The sequence below is a fragment of the Homo sapiens genome, chromosome 5, assembly GCF_000001405.40.
Source record: "Homo sapiens chromosome 5, GRCh38.p14 Primary Assembly".
Lineage (NCBI taxonomy): Eukaryota > Metazoa > Chordata > Mammalia > Primates > Hominidae > Homo > Homo sapiens.
The window spans coordinates 155,295,164-155,321,746 of NC_000005.10; the positions used below are offsets into that span (position 1 = coordinate 155,295,164).

Consider the following 26,583-nt stretch of genomic DNA (forward strand, 5'->3'; position numbering starts at 1 on the left):
GCTATGTAGTCTTTGCTTCTGTGCATTGTTATTTTTATCTGTAATTTTTGGGAAAGTGAAGTGTCAGCAGTTGAAGGATGACTTGGAAAGAGACATTTTTATTGCTTAAATGATTCCTTTCAGGGAGACAACGGAAGCCAAAAAGGGATCATTGCAAACCTAAAGGAGCTTGAGAAAATTTACACTCTTTAAGGTATTTTAAGCCTTCAGAACTATTTTGAGTCAAAAGGCTTATGTGGGGCTTGTGGAGAGTCCTGTTTCATAAGAGCAGACTTAGACTCCAGACAACTGTTGAGGTGGTTAGGAATGCTGGCTCTAGAACTACACTGTCTGGGTTCAAATCCTGCCTCTACCAGCTGGGCAGGTTGATGTCACCTCCCTGAGCCTCAATTCCTCATCTAACAAATGGGGGGTGGGAGAGAAAACAATACCATATAAATAATACCTACCTCATGGTATTTTTGTGAGGATTAACTGAGGTATTTGTAAGTGCTTATATTGATTAAGGCTTCCTCCGTTGAAAACGACGAACACCTGACCCAAATCAGCATAAGCAAAAAGGCAATTTATTGGTCACCAAAATGCAAAAGTCTGGGGCGACGGCTGGATTCCAGGCTCAGACAGTGTTATCTGAACTTTGTACCTTTAATAAGATAGCAGTGGTAGTTCCAACCCCTGTTTCCTTTCAGGGAAAAAGTCATATTATTGGCTCTGATTGGTTATCATGTCCATCTCTGAACCAATATCGAGGCCAGTATTCATTCATATATGATGCTCCAATTGTCATAGACCTGGGTCCCATAACTCACCCTAGGAACTGGGCTTGTATTCAGCTTTGAGAGAACCATGTAGCCTGAAAATGTGTGCATGTGATTACCCACAGGAGAATTGTGGTTGGTTACCAGAGGAGGTAATCAAAACAGATAATTCACCATGAGTGCTCAGCCTAGTGATTGCCTCAAGTTTAAATTGCTTGGTGAATGGTAGCTGGCACTATCATCATCATCATCAGCTGCCCATGAAGAAGGAAGCCCAAAGCAAGTGTCTCTGTGACACTTCATCAGTGATTATATTCCATACTGGGAATTAAGAGACCAGAATCATACCTCACCCAAACAGCTATTTATTATCCACCTCCCATACTTCCAGTTTCTTTTGGGAGATATGCAACCTGGAGGCTGTTTTCCCAATCCTATGTTGCCTTCCTCACTCTCTTGCTAATTATTAAAATATAACCCATGCTCTGAAGGCCATGCCATCTATAGAATCTTAGGTGTTGTCTCCAGCCCCTTATCATTTCTTTCATCTCAGAAGTGCTACAGCTTTCACGGTCTGTACAGTAAAGCAATGTTAAGTGTGAAATCACTTTGCAAATTATAAAGTGCTGAAAAGCACTTTGTCTTCCGCTCAATATGTGACTCTAAAATATTTATGATATAATCATTTTATTATATTATGGTGATTGAGAATATGGAGCTTTGAGATCAGAACTGTCTCTTTCACTAATCTAATGTTGGAACCTGGGGCAGATCCTGAAACCTTAGCCTCAGTTTTTGTTTTTGTTTTTTTTTTTTTTTTTGAGACGGAGTCTTGCTCTGTCGCCCAGGTCGGACTGCGGACTGCAGTGGCCCAATCTCGGCTCACTGCAAGCTCCACTTCCTGGGTTCACGCCATTCTCCTGCCTCAGCCTCCCGAGTAGCTGGGACTACAGGCGCCCGCCACCGCGCCCGGCTAATTTTTTGTATTTTTAGTAGAGACGGGGTTTCACCTTGTTAGCCAGGATGGTCTCGATCTCCTGACCTCATGATCCACCCGCCTCGGCCTCCCAAAGTGCTGGGATTACAGGCGTGAGCCACCGCGCCCGGCCAGCCTCAGTTTTTTTATCTGCAAAGGGAGGACAATACCATTCACTGGTATTGAGATCATGCACAAAAAGTGAGATAAGATCATGAGATAATGCACATAAAGTGTGTACCTGGAACTTACCACACTCTCACATGCACACACCCTCATCTTCTTGTAAGTAACTTGGAAGCAGGCGATACATACCCACCCCACCATCTTTATCTCTGTCTTTGCTCCTCTAAACATTAGCTATTTATATTATAATTTAAGCTGTAACAACAGGAATCACTGACTTTACATAAATATTAAACATTAAAACTTTATAGCTAAATCAAAGGTTTGACTTAAAAAAAATACAAAAGTTCTATGACTTTTTAAACTGTCAAGATCTTTACTTCTAGATCCAGGATTCTAAAAAATGCCAGATCAGGAAATGTTGGCCATGTTGGCTCAGTATTTGTCCTGGCATCTCACTCCCTTTTCCGTCTCTGTGAACGATGTGCCTAACCCTGCACCTCGGAAGTGGGTGAGGGAAGGTATACTGACAAATACCTGAGCGATTTGTCCATCCTGTGCTGTGGAGCAAAACGATGAGAAGTGATGTATTACAAAGGCTGCAAATGTTCTTCCCCTGGAAATGACATAAATACTAGATTTTGCTGAAAAACGACATATGCACATTGGAGCCATTAAGAATTCTCACAAAAGCAGGGAAGCAAAGAGGTCTGCTAACATCCTCTTAATAAAGTCTGTTTTTTGCTGACAGGACCCAAAGTAAACGCACTTGGATGGGGGCTTACCACCCATTGGCAGGTTTTGGGAAGCAGCCAGCTTTCTCCTTAAGAGACGCAAAAGTCTTTCCCCTCCAGGTTAAGTAAGGAAGTAGTGTGGCGAAGGAGTTAGACTGGCAATCAGCAGGACACAGGACCAACGATCCGAGTCCAGGCTGTGGATTCTAACAGTTGTGCGCCCTAGAGAAGGCATTAATATACCCATTTATATTTTAGTGATTTTTAGTTATGAGGGACACAAACTTACTGAAACCAGTTTTTTTTTCAAAAGAATGGCATGTCACCACTATCTAGTTCCAGAACATTTTCATCATCCCAAAATGAATCCCCACATCCATTAAGCAGGTATTCCTCATTCCTCCTCGTTCTACTACCTGGGAACCACTAATCTGCTTTCTGTCTTCTTGGATTTGCCTATTCTGGGTATTTCATGTAAAGATCATCCTATTACCTGTGGCATTTTGTGTTTGGCTTCTTTCACTTAGCATAATGTTTCCAGGGCTCATCTGTGTTATAGTAGATTATCAGTACTTTATTCCTTTTCATGGCTGAATAATATTCCATTATATGGATACACCACATTTTGTTTATCCATTCATCAGCTGATGAGTATTTGGGTTGTTTCCACATTTTGGCTATTATAAATAGACTTGAATTTTGCTTCTTCATGAATGTGGGGGAAAGAGCTGTCTAGGTAGCTCTCCATAACATCTCAGCCCAGGTGGTCCATAGAGAGTAAAATAAGTGTCTGGTCTCAGTTCCCTGTTCCTAGGGAAGAGACTCTGATAGGTATGGTCATGTGGTGGCTGTCCTGTGCAGAGGCTGTGAGGCAGACTGTGGTGTGGGGGTGGGGCAGCTTCTCTTGCAGGGATGCAGGAGGGCAGAGTAGACAGGTCAGGCATCTCTATTATCGAATAATTATGCTTGGCTATCCCTTATCCAGTGTCCAATCTATGCCTCATATTGAGCTTTATTCCTATTTTATGAATGAGTACATTGATGCCTGGGCCTCAGTTTCCTCAGTGCTGAAGTGTATATCCTATTGAACCTAATGAAATTATGAGATTCAATACAATGCTCAGAAGTGCTCCTAAATTGTAAGGAACCAGCTGTAGGATCCCATATGCACTAGTTGCTCATCTCTGACCCTCCCCAGCCACATTAATTATCTCTTCCTCCAAGTCCCCACCCTATGTGGTTTGCCCCCCTCCCACAGCCCTGGCTATGCTGTGCTCTCTGCAGTCTATTTTGTTGGCTGGTGTGTGAGTTCCCAGCTGCAAGGGGGGCAAGCAGTGCATCTGAGCACCCAGGACCCAGCTAGGGGGCCTGACACACAGAACTTGCTTGGTAAATGGGAAGCCGGTGAAAGGTAGAAGAACTTTTGATCTCTTCCACTGCCATAAACAAACCCCTCATGACTCACAATTTCATTTCTCAGTCTGAGGGAGTGATGCCACACTACCTAGGCAGAAGTGACTGACAGTTTTCTCTCAGTCCCAGCTTTGTTTTCCCCATGGTGAGGCTACCCCTCTCCCATACAGTGTGAGGATTGCCAGTCCCTTTGAAAACCAGATCAATGGACTGACAAGCACTCTGGGCCTCAATATATGACAGTGGCCTCAATGGTTGCAGGGCCAGGAGATGCTGCGAAGTGCAGGAAGCAGGAGGATGTCTGCCCTGGCTGCCCAGCCCTGGCAGCAGCTGGACACCGAAGCACTACCCTTCCACGTGTCTGCATGAAGCTCCCTCACCTCACAGGAGCGCCTTAGGTCATGGCCACTTGGGCCTTGGAGCACTGTGATCCTGGCAGGGCTGTCATGAAACATGGTTACCGCATATTTAGAAGTGATATTTATCAGAGTGTCTAATGGGTAATTCTCAAGTCCCTCTATAGCTGTTTCCTCTTTCAATGACTGTCCAGGCGCCAGTCTTTTTGCAATTCCATGGTTTGCTTATTTTGGCAAACAAATGGAAATGGGGTCAGCTGATTTCTGTCAGAGCTGAGTGAGAAGTATCAAGAGTGTGTCTGCAAAACTGAACAGGAGAATGTGCTATTAAAAGCTGGTGTTCGGCTGCCAGTGAGCCTGTAGCTTTGCAAACAACTCACTGGAGACCAACACTTCACACAGTTCCTACTATCCGGGGTCTTTGTCCCCACCCTGTTCCAGCACACCTTTGCTGTGGTTGCCTTTCCCACCAGCTTTTCTCCCTCAAAGCCTAGCAAAGATATGACATCTGAAAGTAGCCAAGGTGAGCAGAAACTAATAACAATGGACATTGCATTTGGGTTTAAATATTCTGGAACTACTTGAAGGAGGAGGCCACTGGGAGTTAACCGGGATGAATGAAATATGACAGAGAAGGCTGGGCGCAGTGGCTCACGCCTGTAATCCCAGCACTTTGGGAGGCTGAGGCGGATGGATCACCTGAGGTCAGGAGTTTGAGACCAGCCTGGCCAACATGTTGAAACCCCATCTCTACTAAAAATACAAGAAATTAGCCGGGCGTGGTAGCAGGTGCCTGTAATCCCAGCTACTTGGGAGGCTGAGGAAGGAGAATCACTTGAACCTGGGAGGCGGAAGTTGTAGTGAGCCAGGATTGCACTACCTCACTCTAGCCTGAGCAACAAGAGTGAAACTCCATCTCAAAAAAAAAAAAAAAAAAAAAAAAAAAAATATATATATATATATATATATATATATATATATATATATATATATACACATGACAGAGAATTTTCCCCTGTGGTGAAATCTGAGGACCAGGACCTGGGCCCAAGGGGATATTCGATATAGCATAGTTTAGAGCTGCACTGTCCAATGTGGTGGTCACTAGCTACCTGTGACTGCTGAGCATTTTTTTTTAGGTGGGCTAGTCTGAATTGAGATGTGCGGAAAATGTAAAATACACACCAAGTTTCCAAAACTTAGTACAAAAAAAGTTTAAAAGAACCCTCATTTTTTATTGATTTAATTTCAGAATTAATTTTTACATATTGAAATAATATTTTTGATGGGTGAAATAAAATGTATTAAAATTAATATTTTTTAACTTTTAAGTTGAGGGGCACATGTGTAGGATGTGAAGGTTTGTTACATAGATAAGCGTGTGTCATTAGGGTTTGTTGTATGGATTATTTCATCACCCAGGTATTAAGCCTAATATCCATTAGTTATTTTTCCTGATCCTCTCCCTCCTCCCACCCTGTACACTTTGATAGGCCCCAGTGTGTGTTGTTCCCCTCTATGTGTCCGTGTGTTCTTATAATTAAAATTAATTTTAATAGTTAATATTTATTTATTTGTTGAGATAGAGTCTTGCTCTGTCACCAGGCTGGAGTGCAGTGGCATGATCTCGGCTCACTGCAAGCTCCGCCTCACGGATTCGAGTGATTCTTCTGCCTCAGACTCCCAAATAGCTGAGACTATAGGTGCGCGCCAGCACCCCCGGCTAATTTTTGTATTTTTAGTAGAGACGGGGTTTCACCATGTTGACCAGGATGGCCTCAATCTCTTGACCTCATGATCCACCCCCTCGGCCTCCCAAAGTGCTGGGACTATAGGCATGAGCCACAGCCCCTGGCCTTAATAGTTAATTTTTAATGTGGCTTTTAAAACTTCTTAGATGTGGCTACTAGAACATTTTTAATTACATGTGTAGATTTACTTTATATATCTACTGTACAGCACTGGTTTAGAGGTGAAGAGTGTGGGCTCTGGAGATAGTCTATCTAGATTTGAACCCTGGCTGCAAATCACTGGCTATGTGACTCCTGGCAAAGTGGCTTTCAGACCTTCCACAGAGACCTGCTGTAATCATTTCATTTTATAACATTTTACACTCACATACACATACAGATAAAATGGATGAAATAATACCCTTACCACATGTAATGCATTCTGATATGTTCTGTTTCATTTCATTCCCCTCCCACCTCCTATAGTCTTTCCTCTCTCATCTGTTTATTTAAAACAATGCTTGTCATGACCTCCTGAATTAAATTCAAAACACAGAAATGGGTCACAAACTCTGGTTTGAAATTCCATTCTTGACCTTTCTGTGTTAACTCTCATCTGTAAAATGGAACAAATACTTCCATGATCTCTTAAAGTCATTTTGAGACTATATGTAAGATAGTGTATGTAAAGCCCTTAGAACAATACCTGGTATATAATGAAGTGCTTGATGAATGAAAGAAAGTATTATTATTCTAAATGGGCCTTCAGTTTTCCCTAGGAACACTTATCAGTGTCTGTTACATAGGAAAACACACTAAATATTAGCTGCTTTTCTTACTAATGTTGTTTTAAATAGGCCTGCAAGTTTCATACTAATTTTTTTACCCCCAAAGAGAAGTCACTTGGTGTGAGCAAATGCAGCATTTCCATAGTGGGAAAAGAGACTTCCAGCCTCCTTGTATGTTGCTTTATAAGATCTCTTAAGTTGTTTTTCCCTGTGTGTGTTCTCTCTTCTCTATGTAGGCTGTAAATTCTCAGCAGACAAACTTTGTGCCATCTGTTGTCTTGGATCCCCCTCCGTCATACCCAGGACACAAAGGCAACATTTGTAGCACAGGCTTTGGAGCCACAAAATCTGGGGTTCACACCCTAGCTGTGCTACTCACTGTGTTCTTTGACTTTCGTCTTCCTCCAAAACGAAGGCCTTGTGGCCTCTGAATCCTCATCTGTGACACAGGAATCATGATACCCTCCTCTCAGCTCTGCCATGAAGATTAAATGGCAGCCGGGCATGATGGTTCATGCCTGTAATCCCAGCACTTTGGGAGGGCAAGGCGGGAGGATTACTTGAGGCCAGAGTTTGAGACCAGCCTGGGCAATAAAGTGAGACCTTGTCTCTACCAAAATAAATAAATAAATAAATAAATATAAATAAAAAATTAGCCAAGCTTGGTGGTGCACACTTGTGGTCCCAGCTACATGGGAAGCTGAGGCAGGAAGATTACTTGATGATCCCAGGAGGTTGAGGCCACAGTGAGCTATGATTGCACCACTGCACTCCAGCCTGGGCAATAGAGCCAAGACCCTGTCTCAAAAAGAAAAAAAAAAAAAGACATAAAAAATTAAATGGCATATTGTACGCACTGAGCCTTCTACAGAGCTGGTTGCAGGAAGTGGAGGTCATGGTTGTTGCTGCATGATTTTTATGGTATGAGCTTGGTAAGGGCTGAGTAGATCCCAAATTCCCTGGCGTCACTCCTGGTGTACAATCAAGGCACCTCAGATTCAAAGCACTTCATCCTGATGCTTTTGCACATTGGCCAACCCTCTTAGAACTCACCATGTACTACTTCTGGAATTATGAGAATATACACAAAGGTCATGTGCCTCGAACAGAGCTTCCTGGAGATGAAATTTTTGATTGCATCAGGCCCAACCGCTCATGTTTGCACTTGCTTAGGCAGAAAAGGAAGGTGGTTTGAAACCACCCTGGGCAGCTTCCTGTAGCCACTGAGCCCCTGAACTGGAGTGCAGTTGGTGTGACAGGGTTGCCCACAGAGTGAATGGGTCTGCCTCCAGGGTCCTGTTTACCAGCAAGGGAAACTCTGTGTTCTCCCCTGACATTGTCCTTCAGCTGTGGGCCGACAGCAGGCCCAGCAACTTATGTCAACCCTCCAGTCTCAGTTCCTCCATTGGTCAAAAAAAGAGCTGGGAGGGTGGTTATGAGGTTTTGAAGCAACTCAATACCATGTGTCTTTAATTCACTGTTGCCACGCTGTGGGGCTGTGCCAGGCTATGGAGAGGACAATGAGCAAGATGGACAGAATGTTCCTCTCATGGGGCTCATCATCTAGGGTGTTTTAATCCACTTCTTTTCACCCCAGTGGAAGGATTCCCACCCTAGGGCTATGGAGATGACTGAATGCATAACACCGGACACTGGACAAATAGCATCAACAGCATTTTATTAGTCATATATGCTCATTTAGGGGGTTGTAGTTGGGAAAAGAGTGAACAACCAGGGTCAGTGAGAGGTGGGCTTTGTAGTATCAAGAGGGTGTGGTGCCCCTCGGTTCCCATAGGAGGATATGATTGGCTTATTTGAATAATTCCATGGGCTGGCCAGGAACTGGAAGCTACTACTCTGGAATCAGGAAGAACAGCATCTGGTCTCCCTTGATCAGTAGGACCTTACCTGTGGGGGCAGTGTTGGGAGGGTAATTTGTGATTGGTCATTTGAAGCCCTCCTGGTTTCAGATGTCAAAGGGGCACATAATATTGGACCTTAATTTTAAGCCTAACATTGCATAGAGGAGGAAACACGTATAAAACAAGTCTTTATAATGCCGTGTGATGCTGGTTTTGGAGGGGAGAGCACATCTAACTCCAAGTTCAGGAGGAGTTTGGAGAGAAGATTCCTGGGTTGGTCAGAGGACAGGGGCTGGGTCAAAAAGTACTTCATCTGTACAGGGGGTGATGTCAGAGCCTCAAACTGCCTTGTGCTATGAAGTATCTTATAAAGTGTGTGCCACAGAGCAGCTGCTCTCTAAGTATTTCCATCTCTTTCCTCCCCATTTTCATCTCCATTGCATTTCATCTTCCTCCCACTTGCACATTCATCTTTCATGCCAGGCTTCCTGGATCACCTGTTCTTAAAGTGTGATTCTTGGACCAGCAACATCATTTTCCTCTGAGAACTTGTAAGAAAGGCAGATTCTTGGGTCCCATCCTAGATCTATTGGATTCAGAAACTCTGGGGATGGGGTCCAGTAGTCTGAGCTTTGACAAGTCCTGCAGATGATCGCAATGAGGGCCAAAGCCTGCCCTGGATGACTCCATATTTGTTCAATGGATATGGCCCTCTCCACCTGTTGCAAACCCTCCTCTGCTTGGAATGCGTTATGCTGACAGGCTTGCTACCCTTGGCATAATTCAAGGTCCTGAACAAAGGTCATTTCTCAATGCAGCCTTTCATAATGGCCTTTGTTAAATTCATCTCCCCCTGCCCCTTAGCCTTCTGCAACCCATGATATTTCCATTATAAGACCCTGCATCCTCTTCTTTGTACTCAGCTATTTGTCTAGTTGGTGTGGTGTGTAGAGTATGACCTTCAACTAGATGAATTTGAGTTCTGGGTTTGGGTCCTGTTTCTACTACTTACCAGCTGTGTAACCTTGAGTGGGGCACCAAAGTTTCTGAACTTAGCTTAGTTATCTGTAAAATGGATATCATGACAACAGCTACCTCCTAGGTTTGTTATAAGGATTAAATGAAATGTTGAACTGAAGGTATTTGCATCATCTGGCATTTAGTTAGTGCCCAATAAATGTTAGTAATTATTATTGCATTTCTAGGGTTTGCATCCCATCTTTACCATCTATTAGCTATAAGGGCTAAGAAAGTTACCTTCTTCGTGTCTCAGGTTCCTCATCTGTGAAGTGGGGATAATAATAGTAAAAGAATTCTTGTAAGAACTAAATGAGATGATGAATTCAAAGTGCTGGCACAAAGGGATTACACAGTAAAGGTTAACTAGTACTATTATAGTCCATAGTCCTTTTATGGAAACTACTTCTTGGTGCCCTACCGTACTATCACTTGGGAAGTGCAGCTGAGATAGAAAGATTCGTCTTAAGGAACTGGGTGCTACCAGTCCATAAGGAGCCCCACCTCATTGGGGGAAGTGCCTCTAGGCATCTGTTCTTGTTTTTTATCTTTCCTTCTCCTTTAGTGTCTCTGTGTCTCCATAGAGAATGCTCTGGTGAGGTCAGTTGCTTACATTTTTAAGCAATACAATTTTTAAAGTTGGATTTTAAACGAAAGAGGATCCTCGGAGTTTGTTTCTCTTCTCCTCCCCTCCTGCTGCCCCCCTCCTTCCCCTGGGCATCTGGAGCTTACAGGAGTTCATGCATTTTAATTAGAAGAGAAATACACTGATAAGGTGGGAACATTCGTCTACCTCAGGCAAGCCTGAGATGCTTCAGACCCAGATACCTTGACTCAATGTGGGGGAGGCTCCATCTACCCATCTCTAAGCTGCCTGCCTTCTCCAGAGGAATGATTTTAAAGTAATTGTCTTGCATCTTGGGCTGTATATAAAAAGTTAGTCTTCATTGGCCAGGCGCGGTGGCTCACGCCTGTAATCCCAGCACTTTGGGAGGCCGAGGCGGGTGGATCACGAGGTCAGAAAATCGAGACCATCCTGGCTAACACGGTGAAACCCCGTCTCTACTAAAAATACAAAAAATTAGCCAGGTGTGGTAGCGGGCGCCTGTAGTCCCAGCTACTCAGGAGGCTGAGGCAGGAGAATGGCATGAACCTGGGAGGCGGAGCTTGCAGTGAGCCCAGATCGCACCACTGTACTCCAGCCTGGGTGACAGAGTGAGACTCCGTCTCAAAAAAAAAAGTTAGTCTTCATTGTTCAGGGTTCAGATTTCTTTCTGTGTGCTTACTCTGTCATCGTCTTCTTATGATTTTTTTTTTTAAATTAGCCACTCCTGTGATAAGGAAAGAGAAGGTTGCACTTATTTATGGAATGTCTACTCTGTACCAAGCTCTCTACCAGCTTGACAAATGCTCCTTAACTTAATCTTTACCCAACCTTAACAAGTGGTTTGTGTTTTGCCCATTTTGTAGATGAAAAGACTGAGGCCCAAAGAGGGTGTGCAGGGAAGGGCATGCTATTGGCAAAGCGATGAAGATGGTGATGCTTTTCTGATTTGTGCCTCCCTCTTTGGGCCCATCTCCAGCTTCCCAGTGTTGTTCTGTCATCTAAGACTGCTTAGGGCCGGTGCCTAGGCCTGCTCTCCCCAGCAGTGGACCACATTTTAGTCGTCTGAATTTTCATTAAAACTTACCTGTTCTTGGTTTCATTTATTCAGCCTCATAGGTTTTTCAAAGCTAATCCTATAAATGAATCCCAGGTAGAGTGCTGATGGCTTAATATGAATTATCTTGTATGAAATTGTTATCTCTCCTGAAAACTCTGTACTTTGGCTTTTATAATGCTGTTTACCAGCAATGAAAGGGATGAGGAAATAGAGGTTTAGAGTTGGAGAGTCACCTGGGCTAGTTGTCCACCATTTATCAGAGCGGGGGCACCATCCTTGGACTCTGGCGTAGAGTGTGGTGGCTTTAATCTCGGGTTGTGAATGCTGTTGGAGTATGGGGTGTTGTGGCTAAGACTTCAGGAAATGTATTTTCAGGTAGATGGGAGGGGAGGTGGTGGTGGTAGAGGGTGTCATAATCCCTGCGTGGTTAACTCTGACCCTATCTGAGCTGCTTTTCCAGCTCTGCCTGCTTTGCTTTTCTACTATGAGCTTGTGGTGATCCCTTTATGCCGTCTGGTGTTTTAGTAAAATGGGAGATGTGGGGGAAGTCTTCCCTCTCCTGGTACACCCCATAGGGAGTATAAAGGCAGCCTTTCCTAGAGATGCTGCACTGCACATGCTGGCTTGGAAACTGACTTCACTTATTTAGCTGATCATCAAATCTACTTTCCCTACCCTGGCCTCTAATACACTGTGACCCTTTGAGTTCTATATCAATGCACCATCTGCATTTGGCACAGGGTATGGCAGATTTCTTCCAAGGGCTGCCATGGCTTCCTGGTATTTCCTTATGCTTGTTGCTACTTGCAGATTTCTTTCTAGTAAGTGCAGATTACCTGACACCTGCACTGTATGCTAATGACTAATTAGAGCATAACCAAACTATCGCAGAGCTGTGTGCCTTCTCCAGCTGAAAGCCAAGGTTTAAATCCTCTCTTGGCTGTAATTTCAGTGGTGCATGCAGTGGGTTTTATGAGGGCATTTTGTTTAAGTATCACATCCCAGCCAGGTCTATCTTGCGATTTCGGCCCTTAGCATCTTCAGTATGCTAAGTCCTGGGAGGCATCTGACAGGGGAGAATTGTTCCTGCTTGTTGAATGTGGAGTCAGCCACAGTTTGGAACGGTCACTGACAGGCATAAGGCAACTCAGGGGGCTAAAGGGTAGTTCCCTTGGCTGTGCATGAAGGCACATGGCCACTGGATTAACTCTCACCTCAGGGAGGTCTCCACGGCTGGTTATCTTTCCTAGCCCGACCTCAGTGGATTTTCCTCTTAGTACTTCATCCTTCCTCTCCCTCCTTGCCTCTTCCCCCTTCAAGATTGCCCACTCTATTTATTTAGTCAACAAATATTTGTGGAGCATGTACTGTAGGCCTGGCACCATTTTGAAGCTGGGGATACAAAAGTGAACAAGCTAGAGAAGGTCCCTGACTTCACTGAGCTTATTCTATAGTTGGTGATGAGGGAATAAAATAAATTAAAACATATTATTTGAGGGAATGGAGGAAACATAAGACAGGTAAGGAGTGTCGCAGGGAGGGGGCTGCTCTATTGGATAGGATGACTGGTCAGGGAAGCTTCTTTGATGAGGTGACATTTGAGCAGAGACATAAGTAAAGCAAGAGCAAAGACTATCTGGTTTGTTTCACTCACCAGTGTCCCCAAGTCACTGGAAAAAGGCTCAATAAATATTTATGAAATGGGGAAATGAAGGAATAAATGAATGCACAGAAGAAAATGGAACTTACATCTATAGTTTTTCTTCTTATGTTGTTCTAGCTCCCCCAGGATGGGCACCAGTCCACTTTGCTTTGAAAAGCTCCCCTTGCTCTGTTGACATCAGGGTGACACTGTGACAGGAGGATGGTGGGAAATGGAACTTTGGACTGGTGGCTGAATGACCTGGATTTTGTTTCCATGGTGATTTACCATACCTTTGCCTTAGTGTCTTCATCTGTGAAGTGGAGTAGTAGTTTGATGACTGATTCCATACAGTATTGTATGGCAAAGGAAAAAGCAATAAATTAATGAATAAACACATAAATACATAGATATGGAAATAAATAACACCTAATAAGTTGGGACCTTCTACCACACCAGTTGCTTTGTTATTATTTGTTTTTTATAACAACCCAACGACATTGGTACCATTAAAAATCCCATTATACAGATAAGAAAATGGTAGCTCTAAAGAGTTAAGTAATTTCTTCAAGGTGTAAATGGAAAGGCCAGAATTCAAACTCAGTACTGTCTGATTCTGGAGTCTGAGCTTTTAGCAGCATTTGAGTCCTGCCACTCTGCCTGGAAATGTCTTTATGCTGTCTTACTCTCTATAGTTCATTCTCTACAACTTAAATAGAAAGATACTCTTTTTTTTTTTTTTTTTTTTTTTTTTAAGATGAGGTTCTTCCACTGTTGCCCAGGCTGGAGTGCAGTGGCATTATCATGGCTCATTGCAGCCTTGACCTCTTGGGCTCAAGCAATCCTCCCACCTCAGCCTCCCATGTAGCTGGGGCCTCAGGTACATGTCATCATGCCTGGCTAATTATGATGTATATATTTACATATATTATATTTTTTGTAGAGACAAGGTCTTGCTGTGTTGCTCAGGCTGGTCTTGAACGCCTGTGCTCAAGCAATCCTCTTGCCTCTGCCTTTCAAAGTGCTGGGATTACACGTGAGAGCCACCATGACTCGTTAAATATATTCTTTAAGTAGATTTCATCAACAGTGACAATTAATAATTTAGTAATAACGTTAATGAAGTGAAACAACACTGGTATGTTTTTTCCCTGGGATTCTGCCTGTTTCACTAGCTTATTTGATTTGCTAATATAACTATTTATGGAATGGAAAAGACTTCCCATGACACATTCAGAAAACAGAGAGAGCAGGTCATTTATCTTTATGTTGCTTTAAAGACTGCCATTTGGAACAATGAAGAACATCAGATCTGCTCTCTCACCCCCTAGACCAACCTTTCTAACTCAGTCTCTCATGAAGGGACACCATCTGGCAGTTCTTTTTTTTTTGCTAAATGTGAAGGCTTAGTGGATGCCTGATTCCCATTTCATTATTATTAATGTGCATTCAATATTTAGCAGTATTTTGTAAACAGTTTAGGAGTTAGGTCTCAGTTCACCTTGTGATCTGAGAGGAAGACTGATTTGACCCCCATTTGCAGAAGAGAAAACAGATTGGTGACATCTTAAATTAATGTTTCTTGAAGAGTTGTCTCTGGACCTCCCATATCCAAATTGGCTGAGCAACTTATTAAAATGCAGACTCCTAAAATCCACTGCATACTCATGAAATCAGAAGCTCTGTGGGTGGAGTCCCCCAAGGGACATTCTTAACAAGTGCCCCAGGTGATTTTAATGTTCACTAAAGCTGAAGAATTAGAATTCATATCAAGATGTACCTGTACAGCTTTTAACAGATGATCCTGAGGGATGATTCTGGAGTATGTCCAGGAAGAATGACCAGGACTGTGAGAGGGACTCTAAACTCAAATGTCTGGGTGTTAGTTTAAAGAATTTGTGGTGTTTACTCTGGAGAAGAGAAGATTTGCCTTCTTTAAATATTTGAAGGGCTGCCATGTGGGAAGGATTAGACTTGCTCTGTGTAGTTCTAGGAAACAGAGCTAGGACCAGGGAGTCAGTGGAACTTACAGTCATGCAAATTTCAGCTCATCATAAGCAAGAACCTGCTAACACTCAGAGTAGCCTGAGTATAGAAAAGGTTGCTTTTGGAGGTTGTAAGTTCTCCATCAGTCACTGAAGATGTACAAGTTGGACATGAATTATTGGGTTGGATACAGAAGGAATTAGTGTACATATAGAAAAAGGTTAGCCTTTAACAAGGTATTATACTTTCTAATGCTGAGATTGTCTTGTTTTATAATTCCTTTCTTTCCTTTTGAAAAGTTGTAATAAGGTGTATGTGTGCCTACACACTCATATGCATGTGTATGTTTATACTCTGTCTCTCTCTCTCTCTCTCTCTCTGACACACACACACACATACACACTTGTGGGTGTGCCTTAAGGGGAATTATGATTTACTTTGGGGAAAAATTAGAAGTTAATTTATTCATTATTCAACAAATACTTTTTGAGTGCTTCCAGTATATCAATTGCTGTGCCGGGCACTGGCGATTCAGAATTGCCTAAGATGTGGTTCTTGCCCAGAAAGAGATCTTGGTCTAGTGGAGGAGACTGGCTTGTAAACAGAAAAATTATAATGACCCATGGCAAATGCAATGAGAGCAGCAGGTATAGAGTATTATAGAGCACTAAGAAGGGGAACTTACCCAGCCTGTGGATGTGTGGAGCGAAGAGGAGTCAGGGTAGGATTCAGAGGAGATGGGTATGACTTTGACCGCTGAGGGTGATGTGGGGTGGCCAAGTAGAAGGAAGCAATGAATAAAGACAAATCACTGGGAGATGAGTGGAAATGTTGAGAAAGCCTGTGCTTTTGGAGATATGAGTGTGAGACTATGCAGGTGAGAAACAAGGCTGAGTGTAGAGGTCCCATGTCACCAAGGGCCTGGTGTCCCCTGCGAAGAAATGTTGCCTCTATCCTGTAGGAGGTGGGCATTCCCTGAGAACTTTCAACAGTGAAGTGATATGGAGTCATCCGCTCATAAGGAAGATCACTCTGGTGACATTTTGGAATTGCATTATCAGTGTAACGTGATTTTGAACAAACGTTGAGATGGCACTTATGATCTCATTGGCTGATAACCATGGTACAGTGGAGTGACATCAGAAAGGATCTGTGAACTCAGAAGGCACAAATATCATTGCCTCACAAACTCCTCTTATCTGGAGTACCTGCTTCTTGATGTTTGCCCCAACTCTCTGCCATGCTTCCTCATCACCACTGCTAATGACCTAGTGACTCATTAAGGCCATTTAGCAACTTTGGATGCAGACCTAAAACACAGGGAGCATCCACAGCATGTTTTCCTTAATTCCAAGCACTGTATTGGTACCATCAGATAGATTAACTCTCACCTTAGTGAGGTCTCCACGGCTGGTGCCCAGAATACATATGAACATTTTGCTTTCATATTCCATAACTTGATGCCAAGGCATAGGGAAAAGATCACATTTAAAAATTTATTCCAAATATTTTTTCTCTTTTTAAGACCCCAGTATTTTGTATGGATGAGTGGAGATGAAAAATTAACTGAGGAATTCAGATATATGGTGGATTTGCCAGACCCTACTTGCATACATGGGCTCTGTTGGCCTCCTCTTTGTATACAGACATCGCTGTCAACACCAGCAGAGGAAACATATGAATGGTGGCAATTCTTTGTTTATTTTGCTTATCAGTAAGTAACACACTTGTTGCAAATAAGTAAGTATGACAAAAGACCAATTCTTTCCTGCTTCTTTTTGCTTGTGGAGGTGTTTTGTCATGTTGCTAAGTTACCATGCTGAAGGGTTCTACTTTGGGGAATGAAGTTATTTTAAAACATCTAGTGAACATCCTACCAGAAAACTTCTTTACAGTTTGGTGAGGGTCTGGAGTATGCTGGAGAATGGGGATGGATGAAGAAGGAGCCAAAAGTTATTGGAGCCATATATTATAGAAACTACAAAAAGCATTCTAATCACAAGGCATAGTTGAAAATTGAGTAAATCACCAAGAAGGAGTTAGGTTAGGAAGCTGGAGTATTTAACCAATAAATTGTCAGATGCTTTCATGACAATCTCATAAAGTAGACTGGAATAAAGAGAAGAAATGGGTAGTCTTCCTCAAAGAATAAATGGGGATAATTCAGATGCCTGCTGGGCCTTTTGCTTCTTTTCTGCAGGGCCAGTATCTGCTGAGGTATTTAGGATTCCTAAGACGTTTATGCAGTCATTTACCGAATAATTATCAAGCTAAACACTTGTAAACTGAAGAATGATGAAGTTCATAAATTTGGAAAGGAGAGCTTTATTTCTCATAAAGGGTTGCAGCCTGCAGGTGGCCATTTCTGAGAGGCTGGGAAGCATAGCCTCCAGCCAGAAGCTGGAAACAGACCCTTCAAGGGAGGGGCAAATGGAACAGGAATGTATGCTGAGCAGGATGGCCAGATACATATATTCAATAACCTATAGGAAGATCCATGAATATTTATGAAAGCAGAAAGGTATGCATGTGCAATTGAGCCTCATACCTCTCCATTGGACCCATGTTCAAAAAATGACAGTGTTAGCATAATCCAAGGGGAGAGTTTTCGGCCCTCTGATGTCAAAAAGTGAAGCAGAGGACTGGAAACTCTTACCATGCATCCTCCATCAGCTGGCCAGAACCACTCCATGGTTGGTGGTCTCTTACCAGAAAGAAATGCTGTGTATTATTTTGTTGAAACTACAAAAGGGAGGGACAAGAGTCAGGTGGTAGGTTGATATTAGTGGTGTTGGAGTCTGTTGACAGGGTTGGTTTCTGTTGAGCCCTTAGAGAAGAAAGCCTAATGCTGCTTAGCAAGAGAGAAGATATGATGAGGCGTGTCTGACTTCCCATCCCATCATGGCCAATAACTCAGTGTTCAAGGTTACTCTGGGGTTCCTTTGGCCAAGAAGGGGTCCATTCAGCCAGCTGGGGGGCTTGGGATTTCATTTTTATTTCTCACACTGGAGATATAGCAACAACAAGACAGATATGGTTCATATTCTAATGGAGTACGTTTTCTGTTTTTGTTAGACATTCTATCTGTGTTTGTCAGGATTCTTTCTGTGTAAGTGACAGAAGCCTGAGTTATACTGGCTTAAGTGAGAAGAGAATGAATGTCTCTAGAAACTTGAAAATCCAGCTGGGAAGAACAGGGTTGGAGAAGGATGCGGTCATACCTAGATTTAGTGGCTCAAATGATGCCAGGGAGACTATCTTTCTCCCACCATCTCATGGCTTTACTTTCCTTCATATAGTCAGGAAAGATGGTTGCTACCAGATCCAGGCTTGAATGGTCCTAATTTAGGACTCCCTGAAGGCTTGGAGCTTAGATTTTTTTATGGACAATTTGGTGAGCAGGGGCTAGGGAATGAGTGCTACTGGTTGGTTAGGGATGAAATCATAAAGGCATGGAAAACAATCCTCATGCACTGAGTCTGCATTTGGGTGGGGCCGCAGGATCAGTTGAGTCATGAGTCAGAAATCCAGGTGGGGTGAATCTGAAAAACATCTCAAAAGAAACCAGTCTTAGGTTCTAGAAGAGTGATGTTATCTATAGGAGCATACAACCCCTGAGCAATAAGAGATTATAGAAACTACACCTATCTTGCGACCTCTCATTAGTCTCACAAAGGTGGTTTCAGCACCCAAATAGGGAGGGGATTAGTTTTATGTCTAATTAGTGCTTCACCATTTGACATTAGAGGGCTGAAAACTCTACCCTGGATCATATTAACACTTCCATTTTTTGGGCATGGGTCCCACGAAGAGGCATGAAACTCAGTTGCACATGCATGGATTTATACTTTCATAAATATTTGTGGATTCTCCTGTAGCTTGTCATTCTTGCTTTCAAGTTAAACTATAAATGAAATTCCTCCCACAGTTAGCTTGGCTTATGACCAGGAATGACCAAGGACAGTTTGGAGGTCAGAAACAATATGGAACCAACTATGTCAGATTTCTCTTACTGTCATAATTTTGCAAAGTTGGTTTCAATCTTAGGAATCCTTTAAAGCTTGTTATTGTAAGGCCTACACCAGCACTTTCCAGACATAACTGTTCCTATTTCCTCTTTCCTTGGTCTCACTCAAGTAAAAGTGAATTCCTAGGAGAAGGGCCTCCTAAAATTATCAGGGACGAAAATTAACCTTTTCTTTCTTTTTTTTTTTTTTTTAACCAGAAGTTCCAGCCTAGGTATAATGGTTTCATTATGTTTTCTTGACTCATGATAGGACCAATAAAAGCTAATAAAACTACCAAAAGTTTGGCAAGACACAACCAAATGGTGTCATTTTCAAGTGACCCATCAGCAAGTCCTCACTAAGCTGCAGTTTTATTTCATAATCCTTAGTAGGCAAAAGGGAACACAAAGCAGGAAAATATGGTCCCTTTTCCTCAGTGAGCTTATAATCAATTTAAAGAGAAAAGACACACACGACAGTTGAACGGTGAACTCTAGAACATGATAAATGTATTTGTTAACATCCAGTGATGATGTAATAAAGCACTGAGTTATAATTATCATCACAGAATAGAATAGTAAAGAATAAGGGGCCAACTGAGTCCATTTCTAAGAGTTTTCATGGTCTATTTGGCTGTTGTTATGCCTGAGGTCATTAAGGAAGGCTTTCTGGAAAAGATGGAACTTAAAGTGGGTCTTAAAAGATAAACTGAAGAGATTATGTGCAGAGGATAGCGTTCTTCCCTTGTATTGGCCATGATTCACTTAGCTTCCTCCCATATAAGCTTTAGGATACGATGCTATTGCCCTTTATATTAAGAAAGTCACTCAGAAGACCTGAAAGAGCTGGCCACTTTTTGAGAAGGGAGTTTATCAATGTTGAAGAGTAGAGGGGTATTTGGAACATTTAGCATAAGTGTATAATTCCCAAACATAAAGATTATTCAAGGAAACTGGGATCTTTTGGGGGCCATTCCTAGCCTTTGAAGTTGATGTTAAAACTTCAAAGTTTATAATTAAATTATTAACTTCAAAGTTAATAGTTTTCTTCCAAAGTTGTAGAATCAGAGTTGCCACAGCCACTGCCTACAAGGATGACAACCAATATCTGAATATTGCAGTTGACCATTTATGAAATACCAGGCTGCCCCACTATGGCCCCAAACTAGTCTAAGGATAAATTTCCCATGGAAAAACTGGCTTATATTCAAATCATCTAAAAACTAAGAGCTTACCCTTCAAAGTTTTTATTCTATCCACAAAGACCCTACATTCCCCAAATTGGATTTTCACAATCTCTGGATGTTCTCAAATTTTATTGTGCTCTTCTGAAATTGGGACCCAGGTTGTGCTCAGAAAGTCTACTTCCTTGAGCTGTTCCATGTGACGATCTGAGCTCATGCTAGGGTGGCGTGTTAATGGCTAAGGTGAATGAGATCTGCCTATTGCCAGGCAGTGACCCAGCTCTTGGGTGATGCCACCACACTTCATTCTTACTCTTCCCATCTTGTGGGAGAATCTCTCTCCTGTTGGATTCTGAATCGATCCTGAACCTCTTGGAGAGGGGCTTCCCTCTGGAGGGTGTCGGAAGTGAGTCCAGAAATGAAGGCTTCCTTCATTTTCAGAAGGACAACTTGCAAGAAAATCCAAGAGAAAAACAAGTTTAGAGAAAGATGCATCCTACTCTTGACATCATCCTGAAGTAGATTTGAAACCCAGTTCTTTTAGTAATGAGCTGTATATCCTTAGGTAGCAAATGGCTTTACCTCTTTGAGTTTGCTTTCTTTAGGTGTAAAGTGGATTATTGGTTTAAACAAGATCAGTAGAATAATAATCAAATTGTTAGTATCTATGAAGCTTTCTTTGCATCCCGTATTGCCTGAGGGGCTTCAATCTTGTGATTCTCCTGTGCGTAGACGTATTCTTATTGTAGTCATTTGATAGATAAGGAAACTGTGATTCAGAAAAGTTAAGCAATTTGCTTAAGGTCACCTGGCTAGTAAAAGGCAGAGTCAGCTTTCCAGTCTGGGCAGTCTAACCCCAGAGGCAGTGCTCTTAAAAGCCAATACGTCGTGTGCCTGGGATAGAGTGGATACTACACGAATGATAGCAATGAACAATACTTGGGAATAAATGAAGGCTATGGAGAGACTGGTTGGTCACGGAAATGTGTGAGGTGTTGGTGGGCTTTAGTTTTGGGATACGAGTTGGGCAGGAAGACCACAACCCTCCTGCCTATCCCAGCCAGACACGCTGTTGCCGTGACTGGCTCTACCCGCAGTACTGGGTCTGAGTCAAAGGCAGCTTTTTCTAAAGGCTTTGGATCACATGACAGCTTTGTTAGGCTGAGATAAATGCAGGGGCTTTCTGCAGAGGAATCTGTCAAAGGAAAGTTAGTTTCTGAGGAATTAATTGGAATTCCCTTAATGTTCCCCTGACATAGGCCTGAACACTGTGTTCATCCCCAGTAGATTATCATTAATCGGGTGAGCAGGGAGACAGAAACAGCCTCTGATAGCTAATTTATTAACTTCTCCAATTTGAAGGAGTGGAGCAGACTGAGGTGCTTGGATTTATTTTGAGGGATTTGGTGTAGAAAGCTCAGTGGTGAATGGTATTACAACCCTGATCTAAATAGAAGGATTAATGATTTCTCTTGGTCGCAACAAAAGTTAGAGTGGGAGTGCTCTTTTCTAATAGGTTTATCGAAGTATAATTGATACACAAAGAAGTTTACATACTTAATGTGTACAATCTGATGAATTTCAAAATATGCAAACACCAGTGATACCATCACCACAATCAAAGTAATAGACATGTCCAACACCTCTAACCAAGGTTTCTTAGTATCCCTTCAGCTTATTTATGTTTTTATGATGATAAGAAAAGTTAACATGAGATCTACCCTCTTAAAAAATTTTGAAGTGCCCTAAGTTCTATAAATCCGCTATAAAATATAGTGCCTATAATTAGCAATACAGTATTGTGGACTTCAAAATTTATTAAGAGGATATAATTTTTCTGAGATCCATAATTTTTATTACTATTTTTTCTTTCTTAGCTTTGGGTTTCCATTTCCTTTCACAAATCTCCCATAAGAAAATCTCCTAATTGTGTGTTTGTTCTCTTCCAATTGGTGCACTTTGGGGAGACTGGTTTTCCTGTAGCCACAAGCCATTGTTTTGTGTAGTTGATGTCACTTCTGACACTTTATACTCTTCTATTTTCTCTTCCATGCCTATTCTACCACTCTTTCTCATTCAACGTGGCCTCCAGAGGTTAAGTTGCCTGCGGATGGTTTTGTACTGCCCAGGATTATTATGAGGCTTTGGCACTGGTAGACTTAGATTCAAATGCCAATCTAGTCAATTTCTAGCTCTGTGGCTCTTAGCAATTTACTTAACATCTCTGAGCATTGGTAAGCGGGGATAATCTTAACTACAGCACAGGGTTGCCCTGAAGATTAGATGTGGTCCTGTGTGTTATGTCCAGAGCATAGCAGGTGCTTCCTGCCTGCTTGTTTCTTCTCCACTTTTCTTCACTGGAGAAGAGAATGAAGGACTCCATGCTAGGTGTGAGTGAGAATCCTGACTGCGACTTAGCATGGGGCTTAAGGAGTGGCACAAGCTAATGCTTTCTAGAGGCTTGCTCTTGGTAGGCATGTTTCTCTCACTATGCTGGCCTGGAAGAGTTTGCTTGCTTCAGCTCTGGTTAATGGGCCTCAAGCAGTAAGATATTGCATAGAAAAGTCATCAAAACCCTGCTAGACTAGCTTACCATGCATGATTTTCCGAGATAGAGGTCACTGCTGTCTCTTCCCTTGGCCTCCTTATCCACTCACTTCACTCTGTAGATACCTCTTTATTGTCTTTTCATGAGGTCCAAGTGATTTTGGGGTAAATCTTCACCTATGGTCACTTTTGTATCCCTTTGTTCTACTTCCCTTACTCTCACTGAAGGTGATAGGCTTGTGTTATGAGTGATGAGTTCTGAAGTCAGACTAGTGGGTTTGATATATGATTTAATTTTGCATATTTTAAAACTTTATATAATTGAAATCATTCTATATTTATTATTTTACAACTTGCTTTTACAACTTGTAGAATATTATGTTTCTGAGGCTTACACATATTGTGTCTTATATCTTTAATTCCTTTTTTCCCACTATATAATATTCCACTGGATAAATATGCCACACATGATCAACTGTATAGTTGATAGACATTTAGGTTGTTTCCAGATTTTCTATTACTATGAGTATTCCTGCTATAAACATGTATTGAGTGCTGGTGCACATTTGCTAGAATTTCCTAAGAGCAGATATCTAAAGTTGAAGCTTGAAAATTGTTGAGTTATGGGCTACACCTATGTTAAAATTTATCACCTAATGCCAAATAATATTTTAAAATGATTATAACAAAATTCACTCCCATTAGTTTGGGTAACTAGTCCATTGCTTTATATTCTTGCCACCACTTGATATTGCTGGACTTTTTTTTTCTTTTTTTTGGCCATTCTGATGTATGCGAAATAGTATCTTGGGATTTTAGTTTGCATTTCTCCAATTTCTAATGAAGATGAGCATCTTTTCTTATATTTATTAGCCATTTGGATTTTCTCTTCATAAAATGTTCAAGGCTTTTGTCCATTTTACTATTAGATCATTTGTCTTTTTCTTATTTATTTGCAGGATATTTTTAATATATTCTGCATATTATTTTTTGCTGTTGTTATTACATTTGTTGCAAATAGCATCTCCACATTGGTGGCTTGACGTTTACTCTCTTGATGGTGTCTATTGATGGGAAGTTCTCAATTTTAAAGCAGTCTAGTTTATAAGAAGTAGGAAATCTAACTGAAGCTTAGCGTATTTGAGTGTCTTATGTAAGGCCTTTTTGTAGATGGTAGTTGAGAAAGATTTGAATCCAGATCTGAAAGAAAACATTGATCTCTTTCTACCAGATTGCACTGTCTCTACGCAGCAGTGTCTACAAAGGTCAGACATAGAATAGAAGTTCATGAAAGTTTTGTTGGATTGCATTTTCAGGTAATTCAGGGGCACTTTATTCCCTGCCCCTACCAGAATGATTGTTCAAATAAAATAAGGAGGTTTTATGATAGAATTTAGACACATCCCTTTATACCTTTTTTCATGTCTAACCTCTTCTTTTTCCCCATGGCAGTAGGATTTTTGTTAAAGCTCTGGTTATATAGCTCATAAAAAACAATTTCACCAAAATTCAGTTAGAATCACTTCTATGTCTCCGTGTTGTGTGTAATCCTGGCTGATAACAACCCAGATAAAGAAAAATCAGGTTGTCTCTCTAAAGGAGCACAAGGAGATTTGGGCATCTGTTCCTTTTAAACTAAGCATATTTTCAGTGTCATAAAACATTTGATACTGAGCTGGTGAATGAAAACACAAAAGAATTAAGAGTGCAGTGTTTCAGTGAATATCTCCTTAATCACAGAGAATGGGACTTCTTAATTTAAATTCTTGATTAGGCATGTTGGGCGCGGACAGCACCACTCTGATCTCATTAGCCCAAGTGATAATGTACACTAATTATCCCTCTTCCAAAGTCAGGGGCTCATTTATTACCTATATGAATGAACCTTTCTCTCATCCTCAGCATCAGAGTTAAAAATGAACTTGGAAAAGTGATGGAGATGCCGGGAAGGAGTAAGTTAAATGGCTTCAGGTTTCAGAGGAAGGAGCAGAGCCAGACAATTTGTGCTAAAGCCAAGCAAGATAATACTGACTTCTAGGTTTTACCTATGGCTTGAAGTGATGTGCAATCCCTATCATGTTCTTTCTCTCTAGTAAGTTAGTTTCTCCTTGGCCAGTTAACATGAAAATATAACACAAATGCTAAAGTCTATGATGCAACTTAACACTTGGGATTTGGGATGGTAGTGGTAGAAACATCACTCAACTTGGGGCACCCTGACCTGCTCTACTCCTGACCTCACCCCCTGGCTCCTGTAGCTCTCTGAGGTTGGAGCCCTGGAGTTTGATGAGCCATTTTAGTAATACTGTGTGGGTGGTTGGGGAGGGGGAGAAGTGGAACCAGAAAGTATTCCCTATTGCTTCTAAACATGGGGAAACCTGTGAGGCACGTTTGGAGTTCAGCTGAATTCCTTCAGAACACTAGTGTTATGATCTTAAAGGAGTGATTTCCAAGTTGGTTTCTAATACTCTCTACCTTCTCTTCATAGACATGGAATCTTAGAGATATTCTAATTTTATAACAAAGAAAACCAAAGCTCTTAGGAAAGAAGTTATTTGCCTGGATTGTACTTTCAAAAATGACCTTTTCATCATTTTTAGCACATGATAGGAGTATATATTAGTACAATTTTTCAAGGGTAGTTCCACATATCTATTAAAACTAAGTTAGTGCATGCACATTGACCCAGAAATCTCACCCCGGAAATCTAGACTATGGAATATTTGCATAACATTTGAAGATATATATGTATGTCCTCTGTATCCATATAATGATTATATATAATATATATCCATGTAAAGATTATATATATAATCTCATCTGTATCTACATCTATGTCACCCATGCCACCGTCTACATCATCATGTACACCTCTAGAAAGACATGACCTTATTTATTTATTTATTTTTGAGACAGGGTCTTGTTCTGTCCCTGAGGCTGGAGTGTAGTGGTATGATCTTAGCTCACTGCAACCTCCACCTCCCGGGCTCAAGTGGTCCTTCCACCTCAGCCTCCCAAGTCGCTGGGAGGACAGGCATGCACCATCATGCCCAGCTAATTTTTTGTGGTTTTTGTAGAGATGGGGTTCTGCCATGTTGCCCAGGCTGGTCTCGAACTCCTGGGCTTAAGTGATATCCTGCCTTGGCCTTCCAAAGTGCTGAGATTACTGGCGTGAGCCACCATGCCCAGCCAACCTTATTTTTAATAGAAAGGAAAGTAGAGCCAACTCTAATACCTACCAGTAGGCAATTGGTTGAATAAACAATGGTACATTTCCATAGGGAAATATAAAAATAATGAAAAAGTTTTTGAACTGGCACAAGAAGGTGTCCAAAATTGGCAAATGAGGAAAGCTGGTTTTAGGATTGTATATAAGTGTAGTATCCCATCTGTGTAAAAGACTACACATGTATTAGTATTTATGCCAATGGTTCTTTGTGGTTATTTCCAAGGGAGGGGTGGAACAGAAGCTGAGAAAGAGAGGCAGGGGAACTTCCACTTTATATATAAAGTATACATTTCAGCATTATTTGGAATCTTGCAATGAGCTGACTGTATGTTGGTAATCAGCAAAAGCAGCAACAATAAAAGCTTGCTATACAGTGCCGGTAAAGATGGGTTCTGCTATCCTGAGGCCAAGCACTGATAGGCTGTCAAAATTGCAACGCAATTGGAAATCACAGCCCTAAGCACACTAAATGGGTCTAACTCAGTGACTGTTAAAAAACAGCATTTCTCACAAAGCAAAATTGTCCCAGCTATTAGATAATATCCTTAGAAGAGTTGTGCTCATA

General features: G+C 41.7%; 1 annotated feature.

The window, feature by feature from the left end:
- Nucleotides 17,704-18,903: an enhancer, noted in NCBI's record as "P300/CBP strongly-dependent group 1 enhancer chr5:154692427-154693626 (GRCh37/hg19 assembly coordinates)". NCBI's record gives its function as "activates an origin of replication core promoter dependent on BRD2, BRD4, P300/CBP, MED14 and CDK7 cofactors, with strong dependence on P300/CBP, by STARR-seq in HCT116 cells {active_cell/tissue: HCT116}" and the evidence as "EXISTENCE:reporter gene assay evidence [ECO:0000049][PMID:35650434]".